We start from the raw sequence: 27,121 nt of genomic DNA on the forward strand, positions 1-27,121 counted from the left end.
AGATAAGAGGCCAAACTCACTGAAAGCTTCACTCCTGGTATCTGTGGAACTTGCAGAGTTGTTTATAAAACTCCTAAGCCAAGGCAATCTTCCCACCTACCCACAATTCTGCCTGCCTAACACAGGCAGATAAACTTAGCATTAAAATTCCCTACACTTTGGCAAATGAGTACCCAGGAGGCTGCTGACTCAATCAGGGATTGTTGTACTTACAGTGTAGTACTGAGAAAGGCCATAAACTCCAGCCTGACAGATCCATAATGCTCATTTCAATATGCTTTCCCTGTGTGCTGGCTTGCTGATGAACTTTCATATTCTGCCAACAAAATATAACAAACATATTAACGACATGTGGTAAATCATCATTGGATATACCGGGTCCTGATGATGGAACTAGTTGTGAGTAAATGAGATTGTCTGGCTGCCTGATACCACTTTGGGGGTCCAGGATGATGCATTGTCCTCAGTGGGAGGAGGACAGTGCATGATGGAGGAGGGAGCAATCAGCTATAGAGGGACACTGATGTCTTCTCAAAGCGGATGGGGTGTTGGAAACCTAGAACAACAGAATTTCAGAGCCAGAAGAGACTACAGATATCATTTAGTTAAACTCATTAATCTGGCATGTATTATGATCAAGGCCCAGAGAGGGGATATGAGAATCCCAAAACTGCATAGCAAGTATGTGATTCCTGAATCACACACAGCTCAGTGGTCTTCTGGTTGGTGGATTTGATTTGTACCTGAAGCTGTCTTAATAGATTAGTTAGAGAGTATGAAAGAAATGTCCCTATAACTCAAGTCAGCCCTGTAACCCTGCATTCGTCAGTAGGAAAATGCTTTGATGGGGCTGGCTTTTTTCTTCTAGCTATAGTACTTGGCTTTTCTATTGAGTGAATTAAGGGACACTAAGGGGTGATTTATGTGAGTATGTGGTAGTTATTCTCTACTGCACTCCTCAAAACATAAGTATAGTTTTCTTAAAGTTGTCATAGATTACTAATGACCCATTGTCAATATAAAATCTATATATTCTTTATTTTACAGAGTAATTATGGTCAATAAGACTAAACTTGTGCAGATTCTGATTCACTCAATTATGAATAAGCTCTAAGGGCATTGGGTATATATCAGGACTTCTGTTGGTTGCCTTCCTTCCTCCTTCCCCCTCTTTTCTTCCTTCCTCCCTATTTCCTGCCTTCCTTTCTCCCTCCCTTTCTCCCTCTTTCCTCCTTCTGCCCTTCTTCCTTTCTCCTCCTTTCTCCCTCTTCCCCTCCCATCCCTCCATCCTCCCTCCCTCCCTCTTTCTCTCCCCCCCATCTTTTCCTTCTTTCCTTCCTTCCTTCCTCCCTTCCTTCTTCTTTCTTCAACAAACGTCTGCTTACTATTAGGCACTCTGCAAGCCCCAGAATTATACCAAAACTAATCTTTTGTGCATATAGTCAGTTAACTCTAACACAGTGTGAAATACAAAATGATAGGAAACTAACAATTATTATCGGAGCCCCGGAGATGAGCATCTAGTATAACCTGGATGGAGAAGAGATCAGAGTCAGCTTCTTGAAGGTAGTGAACTTCTAAGCTGAAATCTGAAGCACTGGCAAGGGCAAACCAGATTGAGGAGGTTATGTTTGTCCTCATATGAGAGAAAGAGAGAGAGAGAGAGGAAGAGGGAGGGAGAGAGAGAGAGACACAAAAAGAAACTATAAGGGTTCCAAGAGTAAGAAATTAAAGAGAAATAATACCAGGTTAATAGAGGTTATATGTGCCCCCAGAATTTAGTGTGTTAGAAATTTAATCCCCAAATATTGTATGTTGATTCGATGTGGGACATTTGAGAGGTAATTCAGATTACATGAGGTTATCAGAGTGGGGTCCCCATGATGAGACCGGTAGCTTTATAAGAAGGGGAAGAGAGATCTGAGCTGCTTTTGCTTTTGCCCTCTCCCCATATGATGCATCTACTGTGTTTTGAAGCAGCAAGAGGACCCGCCCAAAAAGTAAAGCAGATGTTGGCACCATGCTCTTGGACTTCCTAGCTTCCAGAACTGTAAGAAATAAATTCATTTTCTTTATAAATCACCTGATCTGTGGCATTCTGTTATAGCAGGAGAAGACAAACTAAGACAGAAAATTGGTACCAGGAGTGGGGTTGTTAATAATAATGAATACCTTAAAATATGGAAGCTTTGGTACTGAGTAATGGGCAGAGGCTGCAAGAATATGGAGAAGTCTAGAAAAGGTCTGCATTGCCATTAACAGAGCATTAAGTGTGATTCTGGTGAGTGCTCAGAAGGAGGCAAGAGAATTACAGAGTCTGGAATTTCCTAGAGTTTATTTAAGTGGCCATAATCAGAATGCTAATAAAAATATGGACAGTGAAAGCCATTCCAACCTCTCAGATGGAACTGAGAAACAAGGTATTAGAAACTTGAGTAAAAGCCATCTTTGTTTTGAACTGGCAGAAAACATGGCTGAACTGTGTTCATGCTCAAGGGCTTTACGAAAGATGGAATTTAACATTGACAAGCTGGAATATCTGGCAGAAGAAATACGTAAGCAGCAAAGCATTGAGACTACTGCATGGCTACTTTTAACTACTTATAGTGAAACAATAGAAAAAAGAGATGATTTAAAGATAGAATTTATAATTAAAAGGGAAGCAGAGCAAAAAGATTTGGAGAACTCTTAGCCTGGCCATGTAAAGTATGAAAAAGCATGTTTAGGAGAGAAAACCAAGGGTGTGACCCAGTGACTATTTGCTAAGAAGATTAGTACTGATTGAAGTGATCATCAAGGCAATGGGAACAAAGCATGAAGGCATTTAAAAGATCTTCAAGGCTGCCCCACCCATGACAGGTCCAGAGCTCTCTCAAAGGGCAGAATGGTTTCAGGAAATAGGCTTGGGATGCCCTCTATGAGTTTATTGCCCATGACTGCCTCAACTCTCCACTCCCTACACTGATGGGTGCAGTGCTTCTTGGTCCTCCCAGCTGTGGCTCAAGCAACTCCAAACGTAGCTCAACTAGCTGTGCTGGAAGATGCAAGCAGCAGCAAGTCTTGGCATCATCCATCTGATATTAAGTCTGCAGGATCACAGACTGCAAGAGCTATGGGAGCATGGCTTCCTCCACCTAGCTTTCAAAAAATGTTGTGAACAACCTGGGGGCCCTGGCTGATACTTGATACAGGGTTGAAGCTACTACAGAGAGGCCCTACTAGGACAATGGCAAGTGGAAATGTGGGGAAAGAGCCACAGCCACCACAGAGAGCTCCAACTAGGGCAATGCCTATTGGAATCATGGAAGCAAGGCCACTGAAGAGAATCCCTACTAGAGTGATGTCTAGTGGAACCATGGGGACAGAGCCACCTCTGAGACCAGGACGGTGGAAGCCCTAGTGTGTAGCTCTAGCATGGAAAAACCACAGACATCTGACTCCAACCCACAAGAACTGATGTGTTGGCTGAGCCCAGGAAAGCCATGGGAGTGGCACTTTTCTAGGCTTTGGGGACCCAACCCCCACACCAGTGTGCCCAAAATGTAGGACATGGAGTCAAAGGAGATTATTCTCCAGCTTTAGGACAAAATGTGGTTTTCCCTATTGGGTTTTGGACTGACTGGGGCCTGTTTACTTCTTTCTTCTTACCTATTTCTCTTTTTTGGAATGGGGATATCTATTCTATGCTTGTCCCACCTTTGTATTTTGAAACTAGATAACTTGTTTAATCTCACAGGTTTATAGCTGGAAGGAATTCACCTCAAGATAAATTGTGCTTTGACTCTCACCCATATCCAATCTAGTGAGACTCCAAATTTTGGAATTTTAAGTTATTGCTAGAAAATTAAAATTTTGGGGCTTTAGGGGTGAAATGATTGTATTTTGCATGTAAAAATGACATGAGTTTTGGGGATCAGGGGTTGGATGCTACGATTTGAATGTGTTTCCCAAATTTTATGTGTTGGAAATTTAACCCCCAAATTCATGTGTTGGTTGGTTGTTTTTTAGGAGGAGGAAGAGAGACCTGAGCTGACACTCATACTCTTGCCCTCTCCTCATACAAGGCCCTCCACCATGTTATAAAGCAGCACGAAGCCCCCACTAGAAGGGGAGCAGATGCCAGCATCGTGGTCTTAGCCTTCCTATTTCCCAGAACTACAAGACATATTTTTTTAAACATAAACTACCCAGTCTGTGATATTCTGTTATAGAAGTAGCAAATTGACTAAAACAGTGGAAAAAAGTAGGGATAAGGAAAGTTCTAAGAGGGAAGGTCTAGAAATAAAATAGAAACACAGTGTGGTGAGCACCAACAGTGTGCTGTGAAATAAATGAAGATAAGTAAGACCAGAGCAGTAGAAGGGATAGCTACAAGATGAAGACATATAATAGGTTTGGAATTTATTCCAAGGGCAAAGAAAATTGAGGACCATTGAAGTGAGTGACATGATTGAATTTGTTTTTTGGGGGAGAAATGATCTGGCTGAAAATACAAAGGACACTGATAATCACAATATTTTATTGATCTCCTTTTATTTTTAAAGAAAATATATACATAAATAAATTGAAAAGTGGAAAATAAAATAGCTTTGAGGATATTTTTAAGAAAAAGTCTCAAAACCCAAAATGAATTATCTCGGATGATTATCATACAATATAAAGAGAATTGTATATGTACAGTGTAACAGAAGGAGGCAGATTTTGATGGGAATTCAAAGTTGCACGTAGTAGTTGCACAGTGTATATTTGGGATCATTGACATTCATTTTACACCGATTAAGCATTTTGCAAATGTAGAACTTACTGCTAGTCCTAGCCTCTTACTTCATAAAGTTTTTATCTGTACAAAAGAAATAATTAAAAAGAGCTTCAGAGAAGAAAGTGTATCTGATATATACTTTCTGCACTACCAAAATGGTGTAGAAATCTACAGAGACAAAAAGTACTTTGTTAATATCTAAATTGTGAGTAATGTAAATCTTTGAAATCACTAGAAATGTTTGGTTGGATGTGAAATCTCAGGATAAAATGGAAGAACTGGATCATTAACTGGGCTGGAAAGTATCCACTATACATTCAAGTGCTAAAATTGAGCAATCTATAATGCTATTCATTTAGAAGTAAGCATTTAATAAATGTTACAGTTCTTCCAAAGTTTATCATTAGGCTAGCCTCATTGGCTGGTATTAGTTGAGATTTGAATTTAGCTATAATATGTGGATAGAGCTAATGAAAGAGTTATGGAGTTGATGTTTTACTGTCAGGTGGGTGAAAAAGAACAAACACTACTGTTAAGAGATGGAACTACCATGTCACAATAAGCAAAAGAGGATTTCTAGAAATAACTCATAGATCATTTAGGAGCATATTTTATGTTTACTTTTTAAAAGATAAATGGGTTCAGTGACGATCTGTTAACAATTATTGACTCAGTCATTTAGCAAGTTGAGTATGTTTTACTTTCCACTTGCTAGGCATCTGAAACATGTTTTAGGTATGAAGGTAAATAATGATCCTATGTTCACGGAGTTTTCAACCTCAGAAGGAAGACCAATTGTAAAAGCATAAATAATAAATGAGGTAATTGCAGACAGTTTCAGGTAGAAAATGAAACAGAGAGATAAGATAGAGATAGAAAGTGGAGAGAAGGGTATGTGGCAGCCATGAGAATATAACACTCAGATCTCCAGATGTGTGAAGTTACTACTTCTTATGCTATCACCCCATTTGCAACTGGGCCAGACTTTCTAGGGGCCATTTCCAGCCAGCAACTGAGCTTGAGAAAGATTCTAAGATAATGTCATTCTTGAAAGAGGTTTGAAATCTCTGACATACAAATTTGGGTCAAGGAACCACGTATGAACATGCCAAAGTTTACTTAGAATTGCAAAGCATCTTAAGATACTTTTACCCAACTTTTGTTCACTCTTTGTCTCCTCCATTCACTCTCAGAACTACTCTGCTGTTTGACAGTTCTTCAGCTTATCTGAGCTCCTTCCCCATTTTCTCTGACACGCACTACCCCTGGTAAATTCCTTGCCACGTTTAATTCTGTCTTGGCATCTGCTCCTTATGGTCCTCAGTCTAACAACACAGGGTCTTTGAGCTAAGGTATATGGCAAGATCTCTCTGAAGAGGTGATAGTTAAACAAAAAGTTAAATGATAAGTAAATTGTATAAAGGTTCTGGGGAAAAATACTGCAAGAACAGGGAAGAGTTTGTGCAAAAGCCCCGAGTAAACATGCTCAAGTGACCAAAAGGAGACCTGTGTGGCTGGAGTATAATGGGAATGGGGAAAAGATTAGATCAGATGAAAGTAGTTCTAAGAAGCTAAGAAGCTCCAGCATCTTTATTCCTGGTGAGAGGACATAAAAATCTATCTGAAAACAAACTCCTGTCTGAAGTCAGATGCCTGTTCTTATTTATTTTTAGCTTTAGAATACTAGATGTGAGAAATGACAAATCTAAACCAGAGGAAAGAGCTGTGACTGACAAACCATGAGAATAACTGCAGTAAAGGGGCTGTGGTCAAGTTTGTGATTGGAACTCCTGAAGGCAGCTGTAGGGAGTGGCAGGCCATTTCACATTCATCCTGAGTGTAGCTCATTCAAGAAATTCAAGACCTGAGTATAGCTGTCCCTCACCATCTACCACAGCCTGTCATTTATCCAGCCTTTGATTAATACCAGGAATTAGAGGCTGGCACAATCATAAGATGAAGCTATAATTTCAGGGCTATGTACATCACAACTTAGGTAAATAAGCAGAGAATCTGTTTCCTTCACTACATGTTTTGGATCTTAATTAACTGAGCATCAAATGCATGTGCTGAAGGATGTCAGGGAAATGAAGTGTGGTGGAGTATGCGTCTACCATTCTATATTTGTGTATACTCAGGTCTTTATATTTTTGCAGTAGAAGCACATAATCCAAATAGTATATTCGACGCATGGTTTCTTTTCTGTAAAATACTTATGCCAGACACACTTGTCTCACAAGAAGTTGTTGGGATATCTGATGGAGCTTAAGTGGGAGATTAAATTGCAAATGCTTACCATCCCTTTTATTTTAACTTCAAAAGAAAAAATCTGTCTTTCGTCATTCATTTTCTTACATGGTTTCATCCCATAAAGTGAAGTTGGTCTTTTTCAGCCCCTTTCCTGGTATTAACTCTGGTATTATTTCCTGGCATTATGATGAATTTGGATCAGAGTGGGCTATATTTACCCAGGATGGGGGTAAAATAGTAAAATGAAAATAAACAAGAATATCTATGCAGGCTGGAAGGATGACTACTTTCTTTGATCTTCTTTGAGGTCCTCCCAGAAATGTTTTAAATTTCATAATTATCCATTATTGTTGCACTACATTTCTTTGAATAAAATACTATGTCAAAATTATATTATGTAAATTCAAGTTTATGAGTTACAAATAAAACTATAAAGCAGGTGGAAATTATTTTGATATTATAAGAATGACAGCCATTGCTATGCTGGGGAATTAGTATGTCTGGTAGTAAATTTTAGACTTTGGATCAGATAACTTAAGTTCAAATCTTAGCCTTGCCGATTAATCACTGTTGGGACTTGATTCATCACTTAATCATCAGTTGCCTTATGAAAGAGCAAACAATATTAAATTTGCCTACTTCCGGATGTGTTATAATTATGGAATGATATTTAGTATGTGAGTTGCTTTGATGTGAGTTATTCATTCAAACATACACACAAAGCCTTTGAAATATTCTTGCTATTGGCACTTTTCTTAAAGAGTCAAAGAAGGCTTGGGGTTTTCTGTAGTATTCCTATGTATTTTGTATTTCATTCTCTTTGTTATATATTCAAAACATATAAGGTTGATGCAAGTGGTCAGCATTTATACAAACACACACACAAATCTGTAGCTAATTCACATGTATTTTGTTTTGTGGATAGGAGAGGTCTTAATTTTATAAGTAGGAGAGGAGAAGAGCAATTCAATAAAGAAAGGGGCTGAGAAGATTCAAGAAAAAAATATCATGGAAAGTGATTGAAAGATGGATGTTACCAGGACTTGAGCTACCCTGAGCACAAGCATTAATGCTTTGAATACCAGGAGCTAAGATTGGATACAGAGCTTGGAAAGAAAAGCTCTGTCCTCTTGTCTGTGTCTTTCACTTTCTACTCTGCACTCATTCCTATACAGGTCCAATATTCTGTCAGCATCACAAGGATTGGTAGGATTGGCAGAATGTGGAGATTCTTGACAGGAACATTAGCACCTCTATGGTGGAAAATGGTAGCAGAAAGCAAATCTTCCTTTAGTGCAGGTAGGGGCAAAGACAATTCAAGAGGCTGAGCAGGAAAGAAAGAACACACAAGGTGAGCGTATTGCCTCAGCTAGTCTGTGTTTACATGTGAGTCACCTTTTTGAAGACTTATTTTGAGAATGAGGTTTTAATACTAATACCACTTCGGTGATATTTATAAATTCCATGACTTCAAGGCTACACTACAAACTAATGTATATGAGAAGTGAGAAATAAATAGAGGGAGAAAAAGAGAGAGAGAGAAGGAAGAAGAAGGGAGGGAAGGAGGGAGACAGAGAGGGAGGGAGGGGGAGAGAGAGAGACAGAGAGACAGAGAGAACAACACAAAAACTATAAGGATTTCAACAGTAAGAAATTAAAGAGCGATAATAGCAAACACCCAGCATTTATTAAGATTTAGTAAATGTCAGGCACTATTTTAAGTTTGTATGTGTATATGGGTGTGTACATATATACAGAAATAAACATATGTAAATGCACATATAGACACACACACATAATCATTTATTCCTGATCACATCCATGAGGAAGGTAAATTAGTATGCACATAATAATAGATACAGAAATAAACATGTGTAAATGCACATATAGACATACACACATAATCATTTATTCCCGATCACATCCATGAGGAAGGTAAATTCGTATGCACATAATAGTCTACTTCCAGAAAACTGAGGCTGAGAGGCTAACTTGCCTAAGGTCATATTGCTAGTGAGTAAGGGAGCTGGAATTTTAATCCCAGAAGCCTGCCTCTTATGTTCACACTGGCAATCATTACATTCTGCTACCTGGATTCATAGAGAATAAGTTTTAAAAAAATAGGCCTTAAGAGATGAGAAATGTAGTGATGTGGGGCTTATGAAACAGAAGAAAAACCATGAGCAGAAGCATGGAGGTGGCAGTGCAGTGCAGGTAATGAAATGGTGGAAGATAATGACAAATGGTTACTTGTAGGCCACGCAGGCTGAGTGGTCTAAAACCAAGGGATCTTTCTTTCTCAGCCCGTCATCAAGGCTCAAGGGGTGCCATGTCATTTGGTCATAGGGTAGCAGAAATTGCAATGATGGAAAATGTCAAACACCCCTACTTTAATTACAAATGATGAGTCTGGGAGCCACGGGTAATTGTGGCAGAAATAGCCACCTATGACAAATGTTGCTCTGAACTTGTGTCTTCTAACATTTGAATTTCCCATGTCAGTGGCTCTAGAGAGCCCAGACAACGAGGATAGCTTCCAATGCCTGAGATTCCCTGGGAGATTGAACTTCTGTCTAGCATCAACTTTCCTGTTTGCTGCTCTGAGGATTCCTTGCCGTCATTTGTCCTTGATCAGAGGTTGGATCATCCTTTTTCCTTACTCCCTAAACACAGGGCGCAGGACTCTGAAGCAATATGACAACATGTGAGTTGCCAAGGTTCCAAATAGTCTCTCTCTCTCTAGATTTCTTTTCCTCACACTTTCTGGGTGGGAAATGTTTCTCCTTTGCAAGGGCAGATGCCAAGGACTCAATTTCTCACTAACTCAGTTAACAAGCACGTATTGATCACTTACTGAGTACGGAATGCCAAATGAATTGTGTTGGAAGATGTAAAATAAATAAAGGACATGGTACCTGTGAAAGTATAGACACTAATGGGAGTTGAAATCATTAATGGAACAGAAGTAGAATGGTTATAGTTTAACCAGATGCAAATGTAAAAGTATTTTTATTATATTTTATTATAATTCTGCATCATGTCTAACAATAAGACCAAAGAGAAATGTGATAAATGGTTACTGAATTCTGCTCTTGAGTTAGTGAACATCAAACCCAGAGCAATCAAAGCCAAGAACCTAATATGATTGGTTATAAAACCAATATAGGCTTTATTAGAGCAAGTACATGTATACTTCCCTGAACTGTGGGGAGAGACAATCATTCCTACATCATCCCTGACCCAGACTGTAAGCTTAATGATTCCTGAGCCTGATGTAAGTCTTCTAAAAAGGAAATAATTTGTTCTACTCTCAATTGATAGATAAATTGGATAGGTAGGTAGATAGATAGATAGATAGATAGATAGATAGATAGATAGATAGATAGAGTGATTGATTTTAAAACTGTGGATATGGGGAGAATTTTAGAAGAAGTAGAAAATGTTTAGTGAGGTTTTTGTATAGAATAAAAATGTTTGGAGCAACACAGTATATAAATATGTAAGTATATCAAGGGCAGCTTCTTGGAAACCGTGTGTTTTGAGCTTCTTCTTGTTAGTAATGACAGATGCACAAGAACACAAAAATAGAAAGACATTCCAGGAAACATTCTAGGACATCTTAGATTCTCCACAGGCTGATTTGGCTTCAGGGCAGGGTTAGCAGGTTTAAATATGGACGTAATGAAAATTACTATAAAAGATGTATAATTGGCTTGGGAAGGAAGATCTTGAATGTTTGGATATTTCCCAGTTAGTCATTTTTACAAAACTAGATAGTTATTTATAAATTAACACTGATTCTGAAGTAAGTTAGAATGACAAAGCGAGACTTGTTAATTAATAGATATGCCATCTTTCAGATCTCTTCTGAGAGAATGGGAGGGGGTCGGGAGAGGGTCAGAGAGTGTGTGTATTAAAAACACAAAATGGTTTTAAAATAATCACTAAAATTGGTATTTTTAATGTTGAAACAAAGGAATAAGAATCCAGTTAAAGGAGACATGAGTGAGACAAAAAGGTGAGAGAGCAAAAATAAAAAGAGAGAGAAAGAGAAATTTAAAAGAAAATGTAAATAGAAGACAATAGGAAAAGAATAACGGTACAATTGACTATATAAAAATAAGCTTTGAAAAGGACCCTTTTCCAGAGAGTTGTGAACTCATCTGAACTACCTCATCTAGAGAAGTCAATGTGGTATTTTGGAGATGTTGAAAATGTTAGCAATTAACACATACATACTCTATTTCTCCTTTCGAATTCACCAATCGAATAATTCATTCCAACTTCTGTTGGGAGAATGAGTCAGAGAAAGAGGTCATGAGGTGGTACTAGTGAAGGTCCCACAAAGAAAAGATCCAAGATCAGGAAAACAGAAACTCTCTGCAATAACTGTCTTGCTAAACCATCCTGACTAAAGGTTGATTGCCTTCACTCACCATTTGCTCTATTGATTTGAGTTGGAAGGAAACAGGAACCAGAAGCAAACTCTTAGAAGTTCAAACATCACGGACTCAGGTTCAATAAGAAGTTAAAATGAAAGCTGAGCACAAAAAAATTAATTTGATTACCTTTCCTGTCCTAGAAATGTGCTGTGCTTTGTACTTTTAGGAGTTAGCTGAAGTGCCTTTCAGAAAGCTCATCACAGAGACCACGAACATAGAATCTACATTCTATGGCGTGTGAGGGGATTAATATTGAGCACTAGGCATGGTCCTTAACTCTCCCCACCTTTATCCAATCAGTCCCTAGGTTTATCTTACTATGTTACTCAGTTAGTTCTATCCCATCTGTTCTTGTCCACATCATTATCACTCCCCTGCATCACTGCAATAAACATTTAAGTGGTCCTCTTACCTCTAGTATCAACTCCTATCCCCATTCCCACTTTTAATCTTATTTTTTTCTGTGGCCAAGAGAATCTTCCAAAACACGAATCTGAACATGTCATTTTCTTGCTTTGCTAACCATCGAATAGGTCTCCACTGTCCTCAGACATAGATTAAAATCACTTTATAATCAGCCAGTGTGACCTGGACCCTGCTGAGCTGTCCAGTCTTAACTGTAAGAGTTTCCCCTTCGCTTTACAATCTGCGCTCCAGCCTTGTTCAACTTCTTTTACTTCCTTGCATACACAAGGCTTTTTTTCCCCTCTGGACTTTTGCACACTCCATTCTCTTTTCTTAGAATACACTTTTTCTTCTTCCTCCACCTTTGTCTTCTTCCACCTTTGTCTCCTCTCCTATTAATCTCCATCATTTACTTCCAAAAGTCTCCCTTGCTCCAGGGCTGGGTTAAGTGTCCCTGTAATGTTTTCACATTTTGCCCTATCACTTCTTCTCTGTTAGTTTTGTCTCTACCTTTTCTGCATGCTCATATCCTTTGGTGAGTTCTGAAGTAACAGACTATGTTTGCCCTATTCATCATCATTTGTCAGAATTTAGCAGTGTCCAGCACAAAGTAAGAAATTAACATATATACATGGATTTGATATACTTCAACCAGACATTTAAAAAATCCTCTAGCTTAGGGTTCTATAGATAAGCAAGGATTTTATGTCCAGATTAACAGCTAGTTGTGTTGATATCCCTAAAGAAGAAACTCTCCAGAAAAAAAAAAAAATGTGTTCCTAAATGCCAAGGATTATTGCGAGTGGTGGTGACTTTAAACACGTCCTGAATGTGGGATATTGTTATTTCATAGAGTTCAGGAGTTGTGGTTTATGGCACAGAGAAAATCTCATCTTACTTGTAGGGGAGAGAGAGAGTACTTATATAAAAATATAAAAACAAATTCTACTTGATTCATTTATCTTATTACCATGAGAATCCATCAACATAAACAGAAAAATGAGGGGGATGGCTTTGGCTTTCTAGTCACTCAGATCTGCATTCAAACCCCGTGCTTGAACCACCTCAGCTGTGATGTTAAAACTGAGGCTTAGCCTCAGTTTCCTCATATGTAGAAGAGAATAGAAACTTACTCAAAGATTTAGAAAAAAATGCATCTGTATCATCTAAAACAACATTTGGCATATAGCAGTTTTAAAGTGAATACATGTTCTAGATGGGGCTGAGCTAAAGTGAAGAAATATAGCTTACTCTTTCATTTAACGCATTCTATTAAGTCCACATTTTGTGACAGGCACTGGACTAGACTTTTTGTATTTGGAATACAAAAATAACAGTGTAACCCCACCCTTAGGAGGCACAGCATACAGCAATGACAGAGATGGTGACCAGATAACATGAAGTACTGTGCACCATAATGTGCCATAATGTGGAAAGTGCATTGAAAAAGTAATTAGAAAGCTCAATCATGGAAAATGTTGTCAGAGATATGAGGATAGGAAGCCACCATGCACCACTGGTTGTAGAATAGATGTATAGGCATTCTGGAGAGCATTGCAACTATGCCTAGTCAGATTAAGTGTAGAAATAGTCCCATTCCACAAATCTTCCCTGAGGTCAGGAATTCGAGACCAGCCTGGCCAACATGGTGAAACCCGGTCTCTACTAAAAATACAAAAATTAGCTGGACACAGTGGCATGTGCCTGTATTCCCAGCTACTTGGGAGGATGAGGCTGGAGAATTGCTTGAACCCAAGAGGTAGAGGTTGCAGTGAGCTGAGATTGTGCCACTGCACTCCAGCCTGGGTGACAGAGTGAGACTCTGTCTCAAAAAAAAAAAAAAAAAAAAAAAAAGAAAGAAAGAATTTTCATGGACCTACACAAAGGGATGAGTAAAAGGTGTTCATTGTAGGATTTGTTGCAAGGAGTGTGGGAGCACCTCCTTGGAGAATGAGGCAGGTTAAGATATGTCAGCTGTCCAATGGAGAACCAGAAGGTCAGGAGACACTACATACTAGATGTGCACATAGTAACATGGATGGGTCCAGAAAACAGGACAAATAGAATGAGAATCATACTGTTTTCATTTATACATATTAAAAATATGTTAACTACAAAATAATAACATACATACAAAAATTCATATAAACAAAAGCTGATATGGTTTAGCTGTGTCCCCACCCAAAATTTATCTTGAATTTTAGCTCCCATAATTCCCATGTGTCATGGGAAGGACCCAGTGGGAGGTAATTGAATCATGGGGATGGGTCTTTCCCATGTTGTTCTTGTGATAGTGAATAAGTCTCACAAGAGCTGATGGTTTTATAAAGGGGAGTTACCCCACACAAGCTCTCTTGCCTGCCACCATGTAAGATGTGACTTTACTCCTCATTCCCCTTCCACCATGATTGTGAGGCCTCCCCAGCCATGTGGAACTGTGAGTCAATTAAACCTCTTTCCTTTAAAAATTACCCAGTCTCAGGTATGTCTTTATTAGCAGTGTGAGAACAGACTAATACAAAAGGGTACTCATTAAACCCTGTGATGTGGAGAGGGAAATGGGGGCACATGGGAATAAAATAAATAATATAGAAACATATCTTTGTAAGGATGGATCATAAACATTTGTCATGAACTGAGGGGTATGAATTAGCCAACACTATCCATTGAGGAGAAGCAAAGTGATAAAGAACACATAATTTGTCTTAGAGTAAAGGGAAAAATTCCATGGACCAGCATTCATTCAACAATTCTTTTTTTTTGTTGTTTGTTTGTTTGTTTGTTTGTTTTTATTATACTTTAAGTTTTAGGGTACATGTGCACATTGTGCAGGTTAGTTACATATGTATACATGTGCCATGCTGGTGCACTTAGGATGCACCCAGTATCATTTGCTAAGAAAACACAAAGAATAAAATAGGCCAAATCCTTAAATCTAATAAAGCTTAGAACTTATGAGTGTGAAGGCAGTCTAGAAAGAAATATACAAATTAGTATACACTATGATTTCAAGTGGCAGAAATGTTATGAAGAAAGATAAACCAGTATGGAATTAGTGAATATATGGAAGAACAGGGAACATTCAAAATACGGAGACCAGAGAAGTCCTATCTTGAAAGCATAATATTTGAGCATGGATGTGAATAACGTCAAGGAGAGATCTAACCAAAAGTCCAGGTTGGAGAATAAGTAGAAGACTGTTGAAGCAACAATGGATGAGCAATGAGTGAGCTCGTGGTCTCAAAATAACAGGAATAACCACATAGTTGACAAGAATGAACAAGAAGCACAGAGAAGAGGAGGCGAAAGGGAAGGCATGAGGCAAACCACGTAGGGTCTTAGAGGGCAAAGTAAGGAGTATGGATATTATTCCGATTATATGAGAAGCCAGTCATAGATCTGAGCTGGGCAGTGACATGATTTGAATTTTTTTGTTCCTCTACTCTTATTTTAGGGTCTAGAGGAACATGTGTAGGCTTGTTACATAGGTAAATTGTGTTTGACTTACTTTTCAAAAAATGTTCTCTTAGGCTACAGTTGAGGACCTTTCTGGGAGGGCAGGGTCAAGTGTAGAAGTAGAAAAATCAGGCCGAAGACTATTTCAGCATTCCAGGTAGGACATGATGTTCAGTTGGCCTATGTATAATCAGGCTTCAGTGGAATATTTGCTTTGTTTCAGCACACAAGTTCAGGAAAGGATGTTATGAGATGAAGAACATCATTAAACTTAGCTTAGAGATCTGAGCTCTCCAGAGGTGATTTAGGGCACAGGGCAAATGAAGGAGGGTGGAAACACACATGCAAGACAGGCTGAGGTCAGATTAAGAAGCGCTGAATGGACAGACTAAGGAGCTTGGACTCTTTCTTGCAGAAAATGGGACCATCAGGGGAATGGCCTGATGTAACCTTGGCTTTTATGAGATAATTCTGGAAGCCTTGTAAATGATGGTTTGGAAGAGACAGAAGGCAAGAGGTGAGCAAAACTTTAGAGTAAAATTATAGCAGTTTGCAAGGATAAGAAAAGAAATGTTCACGTAATTGAGTATCTAAGGTACTTAAATGTTCTGCATAATGGATATAATTATACCTACTGCATTGGTTTCTTATACTGTTAAATGAATTAGTGCGTGAAAAGTGCTTAGAATAGAATCTGACATATGCTAACCTCTTGATAAACATTAGCAGTTATTCATATATTATAAATATTAATGATATTATTTCTATGTGCTAGTCTATGGACAAGTATTATTTCTAAGGACTAGGCCTGAATAATATATATATTTTTAATTATTTTATTTGATCTTTGAGAAGGAGTCACTCTGTCGCCCAGGCTGGAGTGCAGTGGCATGATCTCGCCTCACTGCAACCTCTGCTCCCGGGGGTTCAAGTGATTTTCCTGCCTCAGCCTCCCAGGCAGCTGGGACTACAGGTGTGTGCCACCAAGCCTAGCTAATTTTTTTGTATTTTTAGTAGAGATGGATGTTTCGTCAGGCTGTTCTCAAACTCCCGACCTCAGGTGATCTACCCATCTCAGCCTCCCAAAGTCCTGAGATTACAGGCGTGAGCCACTGCGCCCGACCTAGGCCTGAAGAACATAAAAATGACCATCATTTGGTTGAGGCATTCATTATTAAAGGAGTTTGTGTTCCAACTAACTGTAAGTCACAGGAGACCTAAATGCTATGATGGTGGTATGTACACTTGCATGGTTCTTTAGACAAGGGGGGATATGAAGGGGAGAAAGTCATTTAAAATAAGAATATTATAGAATTTTGAGGGGGAGGCCAGGCAAGATGGTTCACACCTGTAATTCCAGCACTTTGGGAGGCCAAGATGGGTGGATCACCTGAGGTCAGGAGTTCAAGACCAGCCTGGCCAACATGGCGAAACCCTGTCTCTACTAAAAATAGAAGAAAAAAAAATTAGCTGGGCATGGTGGTGGGCGCCTGTCATCCCAGCTACTTGGGAGGCTGAGGCAGGAGAATCACTGGAAACTTGGTGGGGCAGAGGCTGCGTTGAGCCGAGATTGTGCCACTGCACTCCAGCCTGGGTGACAGAGCAAGACTCCGAGAAAGAAAGGAAGGAAGGAAGGAGGGAAGGGAGGGCAGGAGGAAGGAAGGAAGGAAAGAAGGAAGGAAGGAAGGAAAAGAGAAAGAAAGGAAGGAAGGAAAAGAGAGAGAAAGAAAGGAAGGAAGGAAAAGAGTGAGAAAGAAAGGAAGGAAGAAAGAAAGAAAAAGAAAAGAAAGAAAGAAAAAAAGAAAGAAGGAAAGAAAGAAAGAAAAAGAAAGAAAGAAAGAAAAGAAAAGAAAAGAAAAGAAAAGAAAAGAAAAGAAAAGAAAAGAAAAGAAAGAAAAAGAAAGAAAGAAAGGTAACTGATATTGAATCCTGGTTGGACTCCATCTGGGCTTTGTGATTTTCAGCAACTTCCCTTCTCCAAACTTCAGTTTCCTCATCTTTAAAATAATATTGAAAATCCTGACACTTGCATGATGAAAACTTGAGACAATGTAGGTGAAGTTCATAGCATAGTGCCTGTTGTACCTTAAGAAGAAAACCGATATTGCTATTATATTTTACTTATCATGATTCAATCAACTCTTATGAGGAGTATTACCAGCTTCCATGAGGAGTATTTCCAGCTTCCACGCGTTTATTTTACATGTTTTGAATCTTTAAATGTTTTAAATCTTCCTTTAAATGTTGTCTTTTACCCTGCGTGAAGGGAAAATCCTGCCCTGACATTTGCATTTTGTTTCCTTGCTTTTTCCTGCTTTCACCTCAACATCAAGGAAATCTCCCTTTCAAATTAAAAAGAGATTTAACATTTTTAAGCATCGTTGCCCCCTGTCACCTTAGAAGTGTGGCATTTTGATGTTATTTGCACAGACTTCCAGAATGGAAGATACTCTATAGAGTTAGCACAACATGCAGTACTAATGTGGCAATGAATCCGTGTCAGTATCCCAACCCGCTAATGAGTAAGAGCATCCCAGGCATGTGTTGGGATGTTCAGAAATGTATGCAGGTGTTTATGAGCAATAGGTGGTGAAATGGAAATTTGCTTTAAGGAAAGAAAATCAATTTCCCTGGTCTTTCCTATTCACCTGTCTCTCTTTCCATGTTAAGATCAACTGAGTCAGAGCACTTAGGAACAAAGGGACATTAACGTATGACTATTAATGGGATGTTCAGAACTATAGATACAGAGTGTTGGGAGGAACTTTCGAATATGTAGTTTAACTCCTACACATTGTTGTGCAGTGTAATCATAAGCAATTTCTGTAGTAAAAACTTAATATCTTCTAAGGCTTCCTATCCTGTTTAGGGGTAGCTATGACTACTTGAAATTGTTAATTATTAATTTTTATTTTCTTAATGAACTAACCTTGAGATGTGCCTCTCTGTAGCTTATACCTATTTGGTGAGACCTCAAGTTGTAGCCCACTTTTCTCTTTGCCCCTCCAGTGTTTTAAAATACTGGGGACATTGTTCTTTGTCTTGTCTTAGATTTCTTGCTTGGCTTCTTTTTTTCAATCATCTTCTCATTTCCCTTTGAGATTCTCACTTGCTGTTGGGTTTCGGCACTTATTATGGACACAGAACTAAGCGATTCTCAGGTGCCTCCCATTTACTTCTTTCAGTTAACCCGAATAAAGAATGAAGTAAGGGCAGAAGTAGGTTCAGCAACCTAAGTTCACTAGTAAGCAGCATGCAAGGGATTTCAATCCAAGTCTCCTTAACACCAGAGTATGTACAGCTGACAAATATACTATACTGCCTTCTAATGCCCCCTTTAACTGAGTCCTCTTGTGCAAACTCAAAACAGAATTCCTGCATCAGTGATAGTACTAATCTTACTATTATGACTAATAAGAATAGCTGAGATTAGCTTCTTGACTCTGTTAACTATTTGAATCTTCATAACGACTTTGAGGTAGGTTCTCATTTTACAGATGAGGAAACCTAGATCCAGTAATATTAAGTAATTACCTCAAAGTCGTGTAGCTAGGAAGCAGGAGATACAAAATTCAAATCTTGAAAGTCCACCTCAAGAGTCTACACTCTGAAGCATTATGCTGTAATTCTAAGTTCCCAAATCTTGATGTTTTACTTCTTAATATAGTCTGAGTTAACATACATTTGTGTTAGTAATAGCTCACTCTTGATGGATATTGAGCTATCAGTGACAGTTTGTTTCTCTGTGTGTGTCAGTATGTGTGTGTGTTTTGTTTTAGAAGAAAATATCTTATGCCATAACGCCTTGTTTTCCTCATACTGGAATTCTTCCATGGGGTTTTGTTTTTGCAGGCCAACCATCTATCCTTATTAAAGGCTGCATTTAGGGATCCAGCCCATTGACCCAGCCTGAGGAGACTTGCTTTGCTCCCTCGTTCATCATTCCCTACCCACTTTCCAAACTTTGTGTTAATTACAAAAAAAAAAAAAAATTGATAAACACGTCTTCTAGCCTTGATTTAAGTCATTAACATATTCTGCCCAAGATAGAACTTAGACATTGAGAGGGAAGTATCCTTAAATTTCTAGGAGATGCTTCATTCTTTAAGCATTTGATGAATATTTATTAAGCAAATTGTATGCTGGACAGCCATCATATTAGCCATGGTAAATACAACTTTTGGCCAAAATAAACTCTATTTTGTCATGGCATTTTCAGCTTACAACTAGGAGAAATTTATTAATCAGATAATGATACAAATTAATTTTAAGTGTCCTGAAAGGGCTACACAGAGTAAAAATGTTCCTCTGAGGAAGTATTGATTACACTGAGATCTGAACAATGAGCTAGACTAACTAGGTAAAAAAAGGTAAGAAAGGCTGATATTCCACTTAAATTTACTATGGCTATAGGTAACTTTATATTGGTTGAACTATTATCTTAATAGAATGTGAAACTGGTGAAGACAAAGTATTAATGTTAAAATAAACTTTAATGATATTCTAGTTCATAGTTAGCATAACTTGATGCTTTGTGAGATGCAAGAATATGTTGTAAGTTAATAGTCCCCTGATTTTAACAAGTTCTCTGAAACTCGACAATTTGGAAAATCTGAAGCTAATCGATTTAAACTAGTTTCTTTCTTTCTTTCTTTCTTTCTTTCTTTCTTTCTTTCTTTCTTTCTTTCTTTCTTTCTCTTTCCTTTCTTTCTTTCTTTTCTTTCTTTCTTTCTTTTTTTTTTTTTTTTCTGACAGAGTTTCACTCTTTCGCCCATGCTGGAGTGCAGTGGCATGATCTCGGCTCACTGCAACCTCTGCCTTCTGGTTTCAAGCTATTCTCCTGCCTCAGCCTCCTGAGTACCTGGGATTACAGGTGCCAGCCACCACTGCCCGGCTAATTTTTGTATTTTTGTATTTTTTTTTTTTTTTTTTAGTAGAGACAGGGTTTTTACCATGTTGGACAGGCTGGTCTTGAACTCCTGACCTCATGATCCACCTGCCTCATCCTCCCAAAGTGCTGGGATTACAGGCATGAGCCGCGGTGCCCGGCCAATTTAAACTAGTTTCTTAAGAACTTTTCAGATCCTTTATTACATCTAAACATATTGTGAAACTCTCAGACAGAGTTCTAGATAAAATACAGTGTTTCCCAAACTTATTTGAATAGTATTCCTTTCTTCTGTGCCACATCTCTTAAATTTTTCCAGTTTCCAGAATATAGCCTGGGAAACACTGATTAAGTTTAACCCATCCCCTCCACCCCCAATGCTTAAAAAACTTTTCTGTCAAATTATTATCAAGTCCTGTCTTGAACAGCCTCAATAAATGAGAAATACACCCAATTTTTTTCAAATAAATGAAATACTTAAGACTTTGCCTAATTATCTTAGTCTTGTGAATTTAACTCAGTTGCCTTTGCTGGTGCTCAGAAGCATCAAAACAGTAATTGTATTTTGTGATTCTCAGGAGAAGAGCTGTATATTACAAAGGTGAACACTAGATTGGAAAAGACTGTTGGAGCCTGTATTAGTCCTATTTTATTTTTATAAGAAAGCCACTTGATGCTGTACAAGAAACATTTTCTAAACTTCATTAATAAATAAAAATAAAGAGCCTGCATATTAATAAATGATGAAAGTGCCTCTCTTGGTAATTTTTTAAGTATCTAAAAATAGTTTCAGTCTTTATCTACAAGTGTAATACAGTTGGAAGAGCCACTGAGAATGTCATTACATTGCATGTTTGTCAGTAGAAGTGGGGAGACCGAAGGGAACCCCATTGCTTGAGACGTAAGACATCTTTGTGCAGATCACTTACTCAATGCCGGCTATTTACAGTATTTTTCTTGATTACTGTAGATTGTGCAATGTCACAATGGGGCCAAATTTATAGACCAAAGTGCAAAAGAATCAGATGGCCTTCTGGAGTGGAGCTGATCATTTTAATATGCTAATATATCATCACCATTTTGAGGCCATGCTTCTCTTATTACTCATATATCACATTAAATTGTTTACATGTCCTTCTCACTACTAGCCTGCAAGATTTTTTTTTTTCAGGTTACAGCTATATCTGGTTTAACTCACTTTCCCTAGTGCTTAGCATATCTCCTGATATAAATTATGAAATAAAGATTCAAGCATTATTTATTAATTTTTCATTGTAACAAATGTCAAATTCCAAGAATTGCCTCTCTGAGACCCAACAGAATTGCATTCATGAAAATCCAATCATGAAAGTTTATACAAAATCACCCTTCTTGGTGTTACAAGCTTGATGGTAGATGGAAATCAGCCCTTGCGGGAGTATTTACACCAAGGAGATTGGTAAGCACTACAAATCACTACCCTCTCCACTCTGGCTGTTAAACATTTATTAGTACAACATGTACTGTGCCTCATACAGTTTATCTCCAGCTCTCTTTCCTTTTCTCTTTCGGCCTCCAGTGCAGTCAGAGGATGTGGGGGGCTTAGAGTTTTCCTTTTCAACCTTGGCTGATTCTGTGCTCGACCTTGAAAAAATTCTCCCTGACCTTGCTTTTATTCTACAATATTCACCTCTCTCTCTCTCTCTCTGTTTCCTTCCCTTTCTCTCTCTCTCTCTCTCTCTTTCTCTGCCTCTCTCTCACTCTCTCAAACTCAATGACAGCAAAGCTCATTCAGACATTGGTTTTAATGGAAGAAAATCCATTTTGGTTAGCATTTTATAATTAAGGAGCATAGCTTAAGAAAAAGCATGCATTTCAGAATTGGAGTTGAAATCCTTGCTCCACCTTTTATCTGTGTCCTTGAAGGAGTTACTTAACCTTACTAATCCTCTGTTCTGTAATCTGTAAAGGAGACAATAAAACCAATCACATAAGTTTGCTGTGAGGATTATATGAGAACATGTATCTAAAATGTCTAACAGAGTGCCTGGTACAGAATAGGTAGACAATAAGCGTAGCTCTCTTATTATGCCATGTTTTTCTTTTAGGATTAGAAATGGACCTTTACTCTGACAGCAGCACATCTGTGTTTAAAAAATAATTGGAGAAGAAGGACCTGAAATAGATGCCTGGCTTTGTCACTTAAGTGTTGCATGATCTGGGCAGAACGCTTGTAATCTCAGTGTTCCCACTTGTGAGAAAGGATAATGATACCTCACTTGCCTCCCTCACAGTACAATTGAGAAAATTAAATGAGATAATACATGCAGAAAAATCTTTGAAAACAAATACAGGTATGTGTATTAAGAGGCGACTTAAAAATCCATGTATCCTGAACAAAAATTTCCACTTTTTTCAAACTGGAAAAAAATTATTAGAAAAAGAATATGTACAGAATTTGCATAAAACAAATCATTGCAATGGTGTTACTGATAAGAAAATTGAAAATAAGCTAGATATTCAATGAGAAAAAATTATTAAGTAGATTCAAATACATCCATATAGTGGAGTGGTCTGCAGACATTAAAATCATTTTATAGTAAATCTAAAAGAATGTATACCACATTGTTAAAAGAAGTCAACACTGGGTGATAGAATTGTTGGTGTTTTATTGATTTTGCTCCTCTAAATATTCCAATTAATTTATGACTAATATACATAACAATGTATTATTATTAATGTATAATAATAAAAATACATGTTTTAGAACAGTATGTATCATTGTATTTTTTTTTTCCTTGAGATAGGTCTTACTCTGTTGCACACACTGGAGTGCAGTGGCGTGATCTCGGCTCACTACAACCTCCACCTCCCAGGTTCAAGTGATCCTCCTGCCTCAGCCTCCCAAGTAGCTGGGACTACAGGCGTGAGCCACCACGTCCAGCTAATTTTTTGTATTTTTAGTAGAGACGGGGTTTCGCCATGTTGGCCAGGCTGATCTTGAACTCCTGACCTCAGGTGACCCACCCACCCCCACCCCATCAGCCTCCCAAAGTGCTGGGATTACATGAGTAATTACATAGCCCAGCCTATGTTACATTTATAATTAGAGGAGAAGCACTAAAATACATCAATGAAACATGAGGAAGCAATATTTACATATTAGAAACATTTTTATTCAATTCACAATATTTACTATTCAAGTGAAGATACTTTTCTGATTACTTGCAGGACAGCTGATTTTTCTTTTTTTTTTTTTGAGACGGAGTCTCGCTCTGTCGCCCAGGCTGGAGTGCAGTGGCGGGATCTCGGCTCACTGCAAGCTCCGCCTCCCGGGTTCACGCCATTCTCCTGCCTCAGCCTCCCAAGTAGCTGGGACTACAGGCGCCCGCCACTACGCCCGGCTAATTTTTTGTATTTTTAGTAGAGACGGGGTTTCACCGTTTTAGCCGGGATGGTCTCGATCTCCTGACCTCGTGATCCGCCCGCCTCGGCCTCCCAAAGTGCTGGGATTACAGGCGTGAGCCACCGCGCCCGGCCAGGACAGCTGATTTTTCTAAAAGGATACTCTGAAAGGAATATCAGTTGATTTTCAGAGTTTCATAGATGTAAGACCTTATCCAATACCTTGACAATTACCTCATACATGTTAGTGTTTATTTCTTTCTTTCTTTCTTTCTTTCTTTCTTTCTTTCTTTTTTCTTTTTTTTTTTGAGACGGAGTTTTGCTCTTGTTGCCCAGGCTGGAGTGCAGTGGCGCAATCTCGGCTCACCGAAACCTCCGCCTCCCAGGTTCAAGCGATTCTCCTGCCTCAGCCTTCCCAAGTAGCTGGGATTATAGGCATGCGCCACCAAGCCTGGCTAATTTTGTATTTTTAGTACAGATGGTGTTTCTCCATGTGGGTCAGGCTGGTCTCGAACTCCTGACCTCAGGTGATCCGCCCACCTCAGCCTCCCAAAGTGCTGGGATTACAGGTGTGAGCCACCGCACCAGGCCTATCTTTCTATTTATATTAATTGGGGGAGGAGGAATAACAAAGTAAGAAATAGGATTTTCCATGTCCAATTAGTTCTTGTTTCCCAATTTGAGTAAGAAAGTTTCTTCATTTGGGCACTGCTATTTTTATACATTAAATGCAATGGTTAAGAAATTGGATCCATGATGGTGGAGAGGGATGTGTGTGTTAGCTGAAGTGTGGAACTTCCAAGGCTACTGAAAGGAAAGATTTGGTTTATGCTTCTCAAATAGGTGCATTCAGTATACTGCTCTTTTCTCTGTCAAAGTCCCCAATTCAAATTGAATAGGCCTCAAAATCTTTGTCTCCACTGAGCGATGCTCTCTTTCCTTGGCCACATTTTATTTTATTTTTTTAGGCAGAATTTCGCTCCTGTTGCTTAGACTGGAGTGCAATGGTGCAATCTCTGCTCACTGCAACCTCCGCCTCCAGAGTTCAGGTGATTCTCCTGCCTCAGCCTCCCAAGTATTTGGGATTACAGGCACCCACCACCACACCCGGCAAATTTTTTTGTATTTTTAATAGAGACAGAGTTTCACCATGTTGGCCAGGCTGGTCTTGAAATCCTGACCTCAAGTGATCCTCCCACAGTGCTGGGATTATAGGCATGAGCCACCGTGCCCGGCCCTTTGCTAAATTTTACTGATCAAGTTATAGATACATATTCTGAGGTTGGCAGGTGAAATTCTGAAGACACGCTTTCTACGCGTCTCAGAAATGTAGTCACAGTATTGGCAGAGCTCTAAAAGAAGATCCAAGAGCTAAAGTTGCTGAGGTTCTGGGATCTGCCCTGACTCCTAAGATTGAAGATTGTTCCATCCAGTTTTCCATGCTCTGAACTACCCCATTTTCCTTCTAATAAATTAGTTTCCTTTTAATCTAATAGACTAGGCAATAGGTTTCTGTTGCTTACAACAAAAAGAATGTTAATTAATAAAGCATGTTCCTATTTTTAAAAAAGAACCATTAGTTGGATAAAGAGTGTGTGATTACTCAATATTAACTATGTCATTGATAATGGTCGTGGACACACTTATCCCAAATCTGCTTCTAAGGACCAATATGGCAAAAGAGAATGAACTTATACCAAAGCTGAAGGCAAATTACCCAAAGCTGCTGAGAGAGAATTGCTGGAATGGGATTTATGTCATAAAATAGGGACCAACCTGCATTAAGTGTAAAGTATGAACTGAAAATAGGAATGGAAGACAACGGGCAAATTTGGTGGCTAGTGAGAGACATAGATCGGTGCCTGAAGTTTTGTGATTCTAGCTGGGCAGGTAAGAAAAATGATGTTCCATGGGGTGGGCAGTATTTATACAAGGGAGAACAAATCTTTTTAAAGAAGCCCTGCAGCATGAAACATTGTTTCTTTAGTGTAAAAGAAATATTGGTGAACATTGTTATAATGTTTCCATGTCCTGCACAGATGTTATTACTATGCTTAATCTAATGTCTATACCAGTGATCTTCACCTCTGATTTTTGAATAGGCCGTGACATCTTCAATTATCTCAAGATACACTGAAAATTTCTCAAAGATTCTTGAAACAGAATTAAATGTCATACCTGCTAATTATAAAAATAAATGCAAGTAAGACATACTTTATGTCATTGAATTAAACTGAAGGCTTTTAAATGCTGCTTGTTCATGGAGGTTTGGAACTGCTGATTTGGGAACTGCAGGATTAGGCAAATGTATCAAAAGATGCAGGCAGAGAAAGCTGTGCTTGTGATGGGGAGAGATTGAGAGCTGGTGAGAAAAGCTGTTGAGTGGAGAACACCTTGTCACTTATTATAGTTAAGATAGCTTGCTTTGCCTTAGGCTCTTTATTTTAATGTAGATGTCTGAGAGTGAGTGGGTGATTGAGGGAAATGGAGAGAGGTTATGTGTCTTCACAGGGCAAGATAGCAATTGAATGACTACCAAACCCATCCCCTGTGATGTTAATATATGCACTCATTGTTCCACCCTGTTTTCCAGTAACGGTAAACAACATTTGTCACTTGCAATAGACTACTTTTCACTTCCAAACTGATGGTGAGCTGGCATTTGTATTTCAAGTACCAAAGCTTAGGCTGCAGAAGCAGAAAGCCCAGAAAAGATGTATGCGGTGGGTGGAGAGAGAGGATAGGACAAGGCTTGCATGTGCAATACAGCGAATCGTTCGTAAGTCTGGCCTCCATGACAGGAGATGGCCTAATGCCTCATTAATTCCCGCAGAGATGACGATGATGTATCACCCCCTTTCAATCTGAAACTAAGTAATGCATTCAGAAAAAAAAACTAATTTGTACACATTTAATGCATTCATTAAGCTATTAGTCTTTCAACAAGAGATTTAATAACAAATTAACATTTCTTTTAAATAAAAAAAAATACCCTCAACAGCCCCCAGTTAATACAATTATTTTGTGTTTTGAGTGCAGTGGATTACAAGAGAAAACACTTGGTACTAGAGTGCGTGTGAAAAAGACCATGTTGGGTCATTCTCATTTATTACATAATTAGTCACCGTAGGACATTGTTTTCCATGAATAACAAGTGTTTCGGTGGAACAAAAGGACTCGTGGAAGTAGATGTGAGAAAGTCAAAGACAAAAACCAAAAGTCCAAAATGGGTAATTTTGTGATTTGGATCATGATAAACTGGAAAAAAAAAAAAAGGTTTATTTCAATCATAACGTTTGTGAAACAAGCAAAATTGATTTTGGTCAAATATCAATATTTACCTAACAGTCATTTAGTTCCTTTTATATGTTGGGCACTGGGCTAGATGATGTCAGAGATTAAACATACAGACAAACAAAAAGATGTATTCTTTATCTCAACAAGGTTTCCTTGAATATCTACTATGTGACATGTGACATGCTGAGCAAGATGAATAAATCATAGCCTGTTTTCTTGAGGAAGTTACAGATGACTGTG

The 27,121-nt window shown here is 38.5% G+C and overlaps 1 long non-coding RNA gene across 1 annotated transcript in view, besides 1 other annotated feature; it reads right to left on the reverse strand.

Annotated features, from left to right (window-relative positions):
- Positions 1–213: 213 nt before the first annotated feature.
- LOC102724929 (uncharacterized) overlaps positions 214–27,121 on the reverse strand; it is an 88,452-nt gene continuing 61,544 nt past the window's right edge. Inside the window, exon 4 of the long non-coding RNA XR_930303.3 lies at positions 214–316. This is a non-coding gene — a long non-coding RNA (uncharacterized LOC102724929). The remainder of the gene's footprint in view (positions 317–27,121) is intronic.
- Positions 25,758–26,504: an enhancer, noted in NCBI's record as "NANOG hESC enhancer chr9:121432129-121432875 (GRCh37/hg19 assembly coordinates)". NCBI's record gives its function as "activates a minimal SCP1, AML or CMV promoter by ChIP-STARR-seq in naive H9 embryonic stem cells {active_cell/tissue: H9 hESC(naive)}" and the evidence as "EXISTENCE:reporter gene assay evidence [ECO:0000049][PMID:30033119]".

This window comes from Homo sapiens, chromosome 9 (genome assembly GCF_000001405.40).
Source record: "Homo sapiens chromosome 9, GRCh38.p14 Primary Assembly".
In the NCBI taxonomy this organism is placed as follows: Eukaryota; Metazoa; Chordata; class Mammalia; order Primates; family Hominidae; genus Homo; species Homo sapiens.